The 12,911-nt window shown below is 42.7% G+C and overlaps 1 long non-coding RNA gene across 1 annotated transcript; it reads right to left on the minus strand.

Moving 5' to 3' along the window:
- Positions 1-6,995: 6,995 nt before the first annotated feature.
- LOC105375557 (uncharacterized) lies at positions 6,996-8,096 on the minus strand. The gene is made up of 3 exons (XR_001745397.2): positions 8,015-8,096; positions 7,337-7,491; positions 6,996-7,212 (listed from the first exon to the last, which is right to left on the minus strand). It is a non-coding gene; the product is annotated as an uncharacterized LOC105375557 (long non-coding RNA).
- Positions 8,097-12,911: the final 4,815 nt, after the last annotated feature.

A 12,911-nucleotide genomic window follows, 5' to 3' on the forward strand; every position in this document is an offset into this window, starting at 1 on the left:
TTCATTAATCTTCTAGGACAACAGTCCTAAAAGAGAGGTCCTATTTTACAGATGAGGAGCCCAAAAACGAGCTTAGGGTCACACACAGCTAGAATGTGGGACTTGAACCCAGGCAAGCTCAAGGCTCTTGGTCAATCCATGGAAGGAGAGAAAGGAAAAAGAAGGGAGGAGGGAGGAAGAAGGGAAGGATACCAGGGACCACAGTAGTGAAAGGCTGGGTTTCCTGCTACTACAGTGGGTAGGGCTCAAACAACCAAATAGAAAAATTTTTTAAAAATTCTAACCACACTCACCAACCCTAAATTAGTAAACTATTTTTTATGCATGTCCTTATGTCCTAGAAAATGGAGTCAAACTGGTTTTTGTTGTGATAGTAGTTTTTGAGACAGAGTCTCGCTCTGTCGCCCTGCTGGAGTGCAATGGCTCTATCTCAGCTCACTACAACCTCCGCCTCCCAGGCTCAAGTGATTCTTCTGCCTCAGCCTCCAGGGTAGCTGGGATTACAGGCGCACACCAGCACGCCCAGCTAAGTTTTGTGTTTTTAGTAGAGACAGGGTTTCGCCATGTTGGCCAGGCTGGTCTCAAACTCCCAACCTCAGATGATCCGCCCGCCTTGGCCTCCCAAAGTGCTGGGATTACAGATGTGAGCCACAATGCCTGACCTACTGCAAACTGTTTTATAACTAGCTTTTCACTTAACAAGATGTCAGTTTACTTCCATGCCATTCCTTTGAAACATATTATTTAGTGGCTGCATTGTATTCTGCTGTATGGGTGCACCATTATGTAGCCAATCCACATTCACTGGACATTTGTGTTCTTTCCAATTGTGTTAGTCCATTCTCACACTGCTTATAAAGACATACTCAAGACTGAGTAATTTATAAAGGAAAGAGGTTTAATTGACTCACAGCTCAGCAGGGCTGGGAAGGCGTCAGGAAACTTACAATCACGGTGGAAGGGGAAACAAACACGTCCTTCTTCACATGGTGGCAGGAAGGAGAAGTGCCGAGCAAAAGGGGGGAAAACCCCTTATAAAACCTCAGATATCGTCAGAACTCACTATCAGGAGAGCAGGATCGGGGAAGCCGATCTCATGATTCAGTTGTCTCCACCTAGTCCCTCCCACAACACGTGGGGATTATGGGAACTACAATTCAAGATGAGATTTTGGTGGGGACAGAGCCAAACCATATCACCAAAGAACATCATTGTATTTCAGATCTTTAAAGTATCTACAATGCTGATTTCCTTACAATAAGTTCCTAGATGTAGACTTTTGGGATCTCTGAGAATGCAGATGTCTAAGGTTTTTGCTGTTGTTGAAACCTCTACCTGCAGTGGGTACGATGGGAAAAAGATTTTTAGGATGGAAGAAATTAGCATATTTAATCGCTCAAGTCAATAAGGTGAAGAGGTAGAGATGAAAGATACAGAAGGAAGCAGGGCACACTGGCTCACACCTGTAATCCCAGCACTTTGGTAGGCCAAGGCGGGCAGATCACTTGAGCTCAGGAGTTTGAGAACAACCTGGGCAACACGGTGAAACCCTCTCTAGTAAAAATGCAAAAATTAGCCGGGCATGGTTGTGGGCACCTGTAGCCCAGCTACTCAGGAAGCTGAGATGGGAGGATCTCTTGAGCCCAGAAGATCCAGGCTGCAGTAAGCCAAGAGTGCACCAATGCGCTCCCGTCTGGGTGTTAGGAGTGAGACCCTGTCTCAAAAAGAAGAAAGAAAGAAAGAAAGAAAGATACAGGAGGAGAAATGGATCCTGTGTGGAGCAGTCTCCCCAGTGAGGTTGACGGGATGGAACTAGAGCTTTACAAAGGAACAGGCATACTTCTCCCATTTTAGCTGCCTGTAAATGCAGTTTTGTTTAGAGTGCTCTAATAGTGTCTCTTTAATAGTGTTTATTTTCTCTATGAAGTAGGACACAAAGTCATCTGCTGCAAAGGAGGAACTGTGGGTTTGGAGGCTTCTGAAAGTCATTAAAGGAACATTGCTAGGAAGATTGAGGACCTACATTCCTACAATCAACTGCATTCTCCCTTACTAGATGTGTATCTGATCTCCGAAAATCACCCCTTTTGGTTGAAAAGACTCATCCCAGCCGGGCACAATGGCTCATGCCTGTAATCCCAGCACTTCGAGAGGCCGTGGCAGGTGGATCACCTGAGGTCAGGTGTTTGAGACCATCCTGGCCAACATGGTGAAATCTCATCTCTACTAAAAATACAATAATTAGCTGGGCGTGGTGGCGTGTGCCTGTAATCCCAGCTACTCGGGAGGCTGAGCCAGGAGATTCGCTGGAACCTGGGAGGCAGAGGCTGCAGTGAGCCGAGATTGCACCACTGCACTCCAGCCTGGGCGACAGAGCGAGATTCTGTTTCAAAAAAAAGAAAAGAAAAGAAAAGAAAAAGACTCATCCCTTCTGGGGCCCCTGACCCCTGGGTGTCTGTAAAGTCTACTCCTTCTATATCATGAACTTGAGAACACCTGTCCATTCCATCTCCTAAAGCCTCAGGAAACACATGCACCTGTTTCCCTGAAGCCCTTCCTGGGCCCCCAGCAACCTGGAAACCTACATCCTGCAATATAAGAAGTAGCTCCTGGCCGGGCACAGTGGATCATGCCTGTAATGCCAGCACTTTGGGAGGCTGAGGTGGGTGGATCACAAGGTCAGGAGTTCAAGACCAGCCTGGCCAAGATGGTGAAACCCCATCTCTACTAAAAATACAAAAAATTAGCCAGGCGTGGTGGCAGGAGCCTGTAATCCCAGCTACTCAGGAGGCTGAGGCAAGAGAATTGCTTGAACTCGGAGGGCGGAGGTTGCAGTGAGCCGAGATCATGCCACTGCACTCCATCCTGGGCGACAGAGTGAGGAGAAAAAAAAAAAAAAGAAGCAGCTCCTATTCTATCCCCTGAACCCAGCAAAAGCTTCTGTTTCTCAGAATGTGCCATTAACGATTTCCATGAGTCCTAGATTTCGGGATTCTCCAGTTCCTCTGATATTACAATCTGGCAAGAGGTTTGGACAAATAGGACATATTTTTGGTTAAGTATCTGTTGACGGTTCTATAGAAGTTTGTTCTACCATTCTTGAAGCTTTTCTGTAGGTTTGAAATTTTTCAAAATAAAAACTTAGTAAATGAGTAATCCAAGACTCTGTCCATATTCTTTTTCAAACCAAATCAGCCTGGGGCACTATTTCCCCAGATGAAGATTCTTGACACCTCTCAAGGAGAGGGAGACATTCCTTGGAGCCATCAGTGGCACCCAGGAACAAAACCAAACTCAGCCCTAGGATCCCCCTTAGAGAAACAAACTGCGCATGCCAGGAGACAGAAGGCTCCTTGGTGGATGGGCTGTGATCAGCATCCGCCCTTCCAGCTGCCCCTTTGACTCAAGCACAAGCACTTCATCTTTTTGCTGTCTCCCGTGAAACCCCACTGCCACAATAGTTAGCTTCTGCTCTAGTAAGAAATGTCAGCAGAGGCTTCCTGGCTGGGATGACTAAGAGTTAATTTAGCGTTCAGCTGGGCGTTGCCCAGTCCCCTTGTCTGGTTCTCACCTCTGTTGTGTGTCCAGTCTGCTAGCTGTTCACTCACCTTCCTGCTGACTTACTGCCTTGCCTCATCTGGCCTTGCCCTTTAGTTCCTGGAAAGTCCCTGGCTCCTGACTGTTATCTGACCTTCGACCTACTGCCTCTCTTGATTAACCTTCAGATTTCTGCCTGCCTGATTTCAACCACTTCCTTGAACTATGCACATATTCCTGATATTAAAGCACTGACCATGACATTCACCCATTTCTTAGGGTCTGACCAACCCTCAGCACCTCCTTGAGTTATGTGCACCCAGCCTCTCTCCAGTCTTGTTAAATGTGGCATTCACAGATTGTCCAGCCCTGCAGAGCTCACTTAAGCTATCATGTATGTTTGTAACATCGGCATTAGAACAAACCCGACATTCACAAATTTGGTCCTGAAACTCCCTGACCTTTATCTCACATCTGGTTCTGTATACATCTTTTGTGACTTCATGTGCTGCGACACCTGGCATTTTTATCCTCCTCCCATTGTTCAGACTTTCCAGCCCCAGCCCCCCACCTCCTAAGAGGAAAGGGGGACTAGAGGTTACACTGGTCACTAGTGGCCAATGACTTAATCAATCATGCCTATGTAATGAAGTTTCCGTAAAATCCCAAAAGAAGAGAAAGTAAAAGTAAAATAATTTTTTAAAAAGAATATAAAAATTAAAAAAAAAAAAGGACAGGTTGATAGAGCTTCCAGATGGCCAAACATATGGAGGTTCCTGTGTAACTGCCCAACAGGTTCACCTTGCCCACTCACTGCCTAGACAGAGCCAATTTCTCAAGACAGGGGAATTACAATAGAGAAGGAGGAATTCATACAGAGCCAGCTGTGTGCAAGAGCAGTTTTATTATTACTCAAATCAGTCTCCACATCTGGTGTCAGAAGTGATCTGTGTTGTGAGAGCATAGTAGGAGAAACTGCTTTTGTTTTCTCCTCTATCTTGTCAGGAGCGTAGGAATGGAGTACATTTTCTATTTCCCAGGCCAGGGGTTAAGCTCACTAACACACAATGAGCAGCTACAAAATGATTTTTTAAAAATCAACAACCCAATAAAAAAGTTGGCAAAGTATAGGTAGGAATGAACGATTTACAAAAAACAAAATACAAACGGCTCTAAAACATATAAAAGATACTCAACCTCAGCCGGACGTGGTGGCCCATGCCTGTAATCCCAGCACTTTGGGAGGCTGAGGCATGAGGTTAGGAGATCAAGACCATCCTAGCCAACATGGTGAAACCCCGTCTCTACTAAAAATACAAAAATTAGCTGGCCATGGCAGCGGGTGCCTGTAATCCCAGCTACTCAGGAGGCTGAGGCGGGAGAATTGCTTGAACCTGGAAGGCAGAGGCTGCAGTGAGCCGAGATCACGTCACTGCACTCCAGCCTGGGCAACAGAGCGAGACTCCGTCTCAAAAAAAAAAAAAAAGAGATATTCAGCCTCACTCATAAAATATGAATGCCAGTTAAACCACACTGAAACATCGCTTTCACCTATCAAATTGGCAAAAATCTAAGAGCTTGGTAACATATCCTGTCACTAAGGCCATCAAAAAACAGACCCTCTCACACATTGTTGGTGGAAGTGTAAATTGGTCAAACGCCTGTGGCAATTTAGCAGTGTCTATCAAAATTATAATGCATGTACATTTGTTCCAGCAGTCCCACTACTAGCAATTTATTTTATGAATATTCCCATGTAAGTGTGAAATGATCAGGGATAAGGTTATCTATTCCAATATTATTAGAGGATATTCTGAGTATATTCAATATTTGATAAAGTAAATTTTAAAATAATTTAATAAAAACCATTTTATTAAAATATTTTATTGTGGTAAGAACACCTAACGTGAGCTCTACCCTCTTAACAAATGTTTTAAGTGCATTACGCATTATTGTTGACTAGAAGAAAACTCTGTTTTTGAAATAATAAAGGAAATAAATTGTTAGAAATACCCAAGAGGAAGATTCTGAGAGTGAATCCTGAAAACACTGTCATTTTGTAACTCCGGCTCTCCATCTGGGTCTGCAGAGTTTTAAAATGCATTCCCCACAAAAGCCTGAGGGCTGAATGAGAAGCTACTTCTCCAAAAGCCTGTATCCCTCAACAAACAAGCTCGCCCCTGTGGCAAAGCACACCCTCTGGTTTTACTGCTTACGCAGAGCCGTTGCTTAATTGACAGATGGTGCCGCTGTGAAAATACAGCCATGTGGGAGAGAAATAAATCAATAAGAAAGAAGACTGAAACACTCTCTCCAGATTCTTTTTTATTCTAGTGAATGTGAATCAGGATTTTCTAATAAAAATCAAGTTAAAAAAATTTATGGCAGGTGTGCTACATATTGAGCGGTTTCAGGACAATATCAGAACTGGCTGTGGCTACAATGAAAAACATTTTACAGGCTGTTTGTAAAAGCTGGTCACCCCCCAGCCTGGCCAACACAGTGAAACCCTGTCTCTACCAAAAAAATACAAAAATTAGCCAGGCTTGGTGGTGCGCAGCCTGTAATCCCAGCTACTCAGGAGGCTGAGGCAGGAGAATCACTTGAACCTGGGAGGTGGAGGTTGCAGTGAGCCGAGATGGCACCACTGCACTCCAGCCTGGGTGACAAAGTGAGTCTCTGTTTCAAAAAAAAAAAAAAATGCTGGTCACCTCGATCTTTATCGCAATGAAGAAAAGACAACACATGTTTTAACAGCCTTCATCCCCCTAATTAGCTTATTTTTTTAGCATGCAGTTAATTTGAAAACTTTATTTAAACGTAAATTGAGTGGATCAGTGTGGAAAGGTAAGTCGATACACAGCAGATTAAAGATAACAAAAAGAAACAAGTGACCTATATTTTCAGAACTTTTCCAGAATGATCGTTTGTTTTGTTTGATCAGTGCTAGAGAAAGAAGTGGCTGGAAGTTGGCAAAAGAACAAGTGGGAAACTGTAAAACGGCCTGTCTGAAATCTGTTCTTTTTTGTGGTTATTTGGGCCAGGCTGACTCCTCATTGCCAGCACTTCTCACATCAAGCACCCGGTCCACCACAAATATGCACATCTCGTCACATGCCGGTGACATTACATGCCCTCCAGTGGGTAAGCTTTCTTCACTTTGTCTAAATCTTTTGGAATTACAGCAACCAATTGACTGGATGTGATGGTTTCTATAATTTTTCATCTAGTGACTGAGAAAAAAAAAACCCTGACGTTTGAAAAGAGCCACTTTAAAAAGTTGTAAACAAGCATGAAGAGGCTTTCCTGGGTCATTAGCTGATTTTTATTTTGCAAAATGCATTCCCTGGAGACTTTCTAAGAAACTACTGTGCTTAATACCAAACTCATAAAAAGCTAGAAATTAGCTTTAATTGTTTAAAAATGGCCATCAATCATCTAAAGCCAGGATTGCTGTAATTTATGAAAATATCTTTATAAAGTATTTAAGATATTGTGGAATAATATATAGTTATAGATACACTAAGCTCAACAGTACCAACAGGCTAGCTCCAAATTTCCCCCAAAAGCTAAAGTTTTCCCTTTTTTGTACAGGAAGTTGGAAAAAAAAAAAACGAAAAATAGAGCTTTATTTTACTGAGAGGCAAGCAAGATTTTACTTACTATTTTTTTCTTCTGGAATATTCCATTTAATATTGGCGAAATGCATATTTCATAACAAAAGGAGAAACAAAAGAAAATTGTCATGAAAACAATGCCTACATGAAGTTAAAATGCTGCCGTCTAAAACACTATGTACCTGTTTATTCCCTCTCATAATGCAAGCTTTATTTCAGGAAAACCACACTCAGCTCCATCTCTCTGTGCCTAGGAGGGCTGGGTTGTCAATGTCAGGGAGGAGAAGAAAACCCAAGACAGGTTGAGCTGAGGTCAGGTACTTGGAGACGCCAAAGCCTGGTACAAAGTAGAAAAGCAGATTTAAGGATGGTCTGAGGTCAGAAAATGAGTCAAGAGCCAGATACACCAAGTTCAAACCAGGACAAGCCAAAAACCAGAGGCTTCGTGACAAATCTAAGAACAAATGAGACAGGGATATATGAATCGGCAAGTTAAACGAGACTAAGAAGCACATCAAATGGGTGTAGCTAAATCTACACAGACACTTTGTTCAGTGGCAGGACCTCTTCCTCCACCAGCAGGCTTTCACCAGTCTTAAAGGAGCAGTATTCTGAAAATATTATGGAAGGGACCAAAACAACTAATATAAGATGAAGACTTGGTTATGCAAAAATGCACCACCACTACAATCCCCAAAAGGAAGGTCTACAAGGAGCACACAAGCTAAAGATTGCCATTGCTATTGTTAGAACAATAAATTATATGTGACTATTATTTAGCACCCTTGAACACACAAAATAAGACTGATGTAACATTTAGCCCATAAAGTATTCATTCAAAATATTTATTGAGTACTTACAGCCAGGCACTGTGCTGAAAGCTGGGGATAAAAAGTTAAGCAGAATGTAGTCTGTGCTCTCAAGAAATTCACAGAGAAAGAGAAAAGAAGCGATTCCAATACAGTGTAATAAGTACACTGCAAGGGGTAAATCATGGGGTGTAAAGATAGAAGGATGATGACAGCTTCCCAAGGACAGGAAATCTAAGCTGAGAACTGAAGGAGTGACGCAGGACAGCTGGCGGGAGAACTTCTCTCCTTTATGTTTAATTACTGTCCAGAGCCATGGAGAATTTAGAGATAACACAAAAAAGACAATTAAATGAATGAAGGCCTCAAAAATATGACCATCTGCAGGGAGTGAAAGCAGTAGCATGGTCTGATCTTGAGTACTGTTAAAAGTAGAATTTTCAAAATGTTAAAACAACACATATACATAAGAGCATATGTCAAGGTTATTTTCAGCTCGCTAATGAGGGAACAAACAGAATGACAAAATGATTCAAAGGCAGATGCAAGAAACGAATGTACATATTTCCCATCAAAGAGAAGGCTAGAATAAAATTATTAAATACTAAAACTCATCATTGTTCTACAGAGCAATAAACTATAATCTTTAGGGTTTTTTCTCTAATGAACAGAAATAATTGGCATTATTATTAGACAAAAATAATTTTTATTGTAACAATTTACTACATATTAACATCTAACTTTTGTTGCAAAAATGCCTGGGCCCTATTCATTAGCCAATAGGAAGTTAAATTGTATTCTCCAAGAGAGTCAGGTGATCCTTACACAGGCTTGTTAAGTGAACCCCTAGCCTAACAATAAAATTCACACCACCATCTTTCTCGCTACCTTCTATGTGTTGGATCATTTTGTTTAGTAACCTCCAAGAATGTTTAGCCTCTGAAATGTACCTAGTATGAAGACATCCCACAAGGAGAGTTGTGATCTTCCTCAATCTCCCCAAACAGACTAAAGGTTATAGGAAAATAGATTTCTTCTATCTGATTCTAAGGCGTAAGGATGATAAGAACCACCCACATTCTGGCTGGGCGTGGTGGCTCACGCCTGTTATCCCAGCACTTTGGGAGGCCAAGGCGGGTGGATCACCTGAGGTCAGGAGTTCGAGACCAGCCTGACCAACATGGCAAAACCCTGTCTTTTACCAAAAATACAAAAAATTAGCTGGGCATGGTGCCGGGCACCTGTAATCTCAGCTACTCGGGGGGCTGAGGCAGGAGAATCACTTGAACCCAGGAGATGGAAGTTGCAGTGAGCTGAGATCGTGCCACTGCACTGCAGCCTGGGCGACAAGAGTGAAACTCCGTCTCAAAAAAAAAAACCGCCCACATTCCAAGCAGCGTTGTTACACTGTTTTTCTCATTTAATCATATCACCAATCCCATGCAGTAGGTTTGACTACATTGAATTTGTATACTTGAGGAAACAAAGGGTCACAGAAAATAAATAACTTGCCCAAATATAAATTTAAAAAGCTATTTGAAAGGGCAGCTAGGCAGTATCAATCCAAATTTAAAACATGCATATCCTCTGACCCAATTCATTCTTTAGAATCTATCCTAAAGAAATGTTTACTGCTGGGTACAGTGGCTCACGCCTGTGGTCCCTCAGCTACCCTCACCTACCTGGGAGGCTGAGGCCGAAGGATTGCTTGAGCTCAGGAGTTCAAGGCTGCAGTGAGCTAGGGTGGCGCCACTGTACTCCAGCCTGGGCAAGAAAGCAAAACCCTGTATTAGCAAAGGAATAGGAAAGAAGGAAGGAAGAAAGTGTGACAAATCTGAGTCATCATAAGAGGATATGGATAAATAAATTAAAATATACCCACATTATGGGATATTAAGCCATATTAAAAAGGAATGAGATACATCCACACTTACCTCCAAGATATACTGTTCAGCAAAAGAAGCAACTTTCATGATAATGTATACATGTAAACAAAAATATGCTCTAAAAGCTGGAAAGGATGTAGCTCAACTGTTAACAGTGGTTATCTCAGGCAAGGGGAGGAGGCATGGGGGAAGCAGGGGAAGGTAAGAGTGGGAGGAGGAGAGGTTTGTATTTCATCCTATAGTCATATATTTCTAGAACCATTTATGATGGCAATGTATTACTGACATAATTTTTTAGATAATGAATGTTATGGGTTGCGGAAGGATAACTTGCTGGAGATTACCCAAGTAGTAAAAGCAATTTACATTGGGATTCAAACTCAGGTCTGACTAATTTTTTTTTTTTTTTTCTGTGACATAGTCTTGCTTTGTCACCCAGGCTGGAGTGCAATGGCATGATCTCGGCTCACTGCAATCTCCACCTCCCAGGTTGAAGCAATTCTCCTGCCTCGGCCTCTCAAGTAGCTGGGATTACAGGCTCCTCCCACCACGCCTGGCTAATTTTTGTATTTTTAGTAGAGATGAGGGTTTTGCCATGTTGGCCAGGCTGGTCTCAAACTCCTGACCTCGTGATCCGCCCACCTTGGCCTCCCAAAGTGCTGGGATTACAGGCGTGAGCCACCACACCTGCCCAGGTCTGACTAATTTTTAAAACTGTAGCCTTTGCAAATTATCATTTACCTCACTAATCATCCAGGACTGCATTTGCTACGGGAATGTTCTTGAGGATGTGTTTGCCACATCTGTCAGGAAGAAAATTCCTTTAGAGTTAAGGGCTGGTGACCGGCTTTGCCTCTCCTAAGACACTGGTATGGTTTGTTTGTCTTTTCCTCCAGGACAATGAGAATTCTGTATGAAAATCTAACTGCTTATCTTGATCACCAAGAAACTCAGAGTCAAATCTACCACCTAACTGTCATAATCTGGTTTCATGGTAGGTCCTCAGTCAAGAAGTGAGTGACAGTAAAGTCCAAGTCCACGTCAAAATAGGACCTGCCAAGTCAGACTCAGCCTATTAGACCCTATCTCCTTTAATCCCCTCGGAAAACGTCAGGAGCCGTTCTAACAGCAAATTCTCAAGCTTGAGTATGCTTAAGAATCACCTGAGATTAATCACTAAAAATACAGATTCCCGGCCAGACACGTATCCTGGTCAGGCACGGTGGCTCACACCTGTAATCCCAGCACTTTGGGAGGCCAAGGTGAGTGGATCACCTAAGGTCAGGAGTTCGAGACCAGCCTGACCAACATGGAGAAACCCCATCTCTATTAAAAATACAAAAAATTCGCCAGGCATGGTGGCACATGCCTGTAATCCCAGCTACTCGGGAGGCTGAGGCAGGAGAATCGCTTGAACCCAGGAGGTAGAAGTTGTGGTGAGCCAAGATCGTGCCATTGCACTCCAGCCTGAGCAACAAGAGCAAAACTCTGTCAAAAAAAAAAAAAAACACTTCAAACAGATTTCTGGGTAGACATTCTCAGGGTTTAACAAGGAAGTGGGCTAATTACTTTTAATTAGTTGTGGTAGAGTAGAGTAGGGGAAGTGGTTATCTCTGTACCCAAGTTTGACTTGAAAGGCCACACGGGTAGATGTATCCAGCTTTTGAAGATTCCCTCAATCCACCTCTGCAGGTGCACACCCTCCACCCTAGTTCACCAGCCTTGCTGATTTGGGTCCTCAAAACAAGATGTTCTGCCCTCTCTTCCCTTTCATCTCCTCATACCCAAATCCTGGCTCTGAGGGATTTTGACCCTGACCTCATTTATTTGATCTTTCTCCTTACCTTAAACTTGGTAACTTCTGCAGTTTGTAAAGTTAGAATCTCTGTTTGCTTGCTCTGTCTTCCAAAGCCTTTCTTCTTAGGGGTTAAACATCAATTGGCTCCTAAATATACCTGGAGTTTACAGTCCTCCTCCCTCACTGGAAGAGGGTTTTAGATGACAGTGATAAGGGGGATAGCATAGCTCTCAGCTGTGGCTGGGCTTCTTTTCAAAGTGTGTGTGTGTGTGTGTGTGTGTGTGTGTGTGTGTGTGTGTGTGTGTGTGTGTGTGTGTGGTCCAGTTCCCACAGGTGCACGGCCCTGAGTCTCAAAGTCACAGTGCTCATACCCAGTGTCCGATGAGGACTGACAGTCTCAGAACTCTCTAAATGCCTTTTGCTTTTCCTACAAATGACTGTGAACTGAATCTACTGGCATAACATAGGAAACTGAAAAGCCTCAATCTCAGAGGGATAATTATTTAAAAGCTAGAGCTCATTCCATCCTTAGGGTATGAGTCCCTTATCTTTGTAACTTAATTAGCTGGAATCCAATGAGCTTAATTGATATATTAGAAACATAAAAATAATCACTAATATGATTTATTACAACTTGAATTGAAAGCCTAACTCTGTCCCTTCTGAACTATAATTAATTTGTGTTTGTTGTTAAATATGAGTATATTTTGAGTATATCAAAATACATTAGAGGCCGGGTGCAGTGGCTCATGCCTGTAATCCCAGCACTTTGGGAGGCTAAGGCAGGTGGATCACTTGAGGTCAGGATTTTGAGACCAGCCTGGCCAACATGGCAAAACCCCATCTCTACTAAAAATACCAAAATTAGCCGGGCGTGGTGGCAGGTGCCTGTAATCCCAGCAACTTAGGAGGCTGAGGCAGGAGAATTGTTTGAACCCAGGAGGCAGAGGTTGCAATGAGGCGAGATTGTGCCATTGCACTCTAGCCTGGGCGACAGAGTGAGACTCCATCTCAAAAACAAAAACAAACAAAAAGAAAACAAAATACACTAGAGATCTGAAGACACATAATGAGGTTGCAATTAGGTATGCCAGGGGGCACTATGTCGCAAAGTTTACATTTTACTCTTACTTCTGGCTTGGGACGAAATTTTGAATGAATTTTTTTTAGCATAAAATCGTGTCTTTTAAGGGTTTTATACTTTCACGGTACACTTCTCATTTTTTTCTTCATCTTCGGTTCATCATTGGCCCATCTTTTCCCA

This window comes from Homo sapiens, chromosome 7, assembly GCF_000001405.40.
Source record: "Homo sapiens chromosome 7, GRCh38.p14 Primary Assembly".
In the NCBI taxonomy this organism is placed as follows: Eukaryota; Metazoa; Chordata; class Mammalia; order Primates; family Hominidae; genus Homo; species Homo sapiens.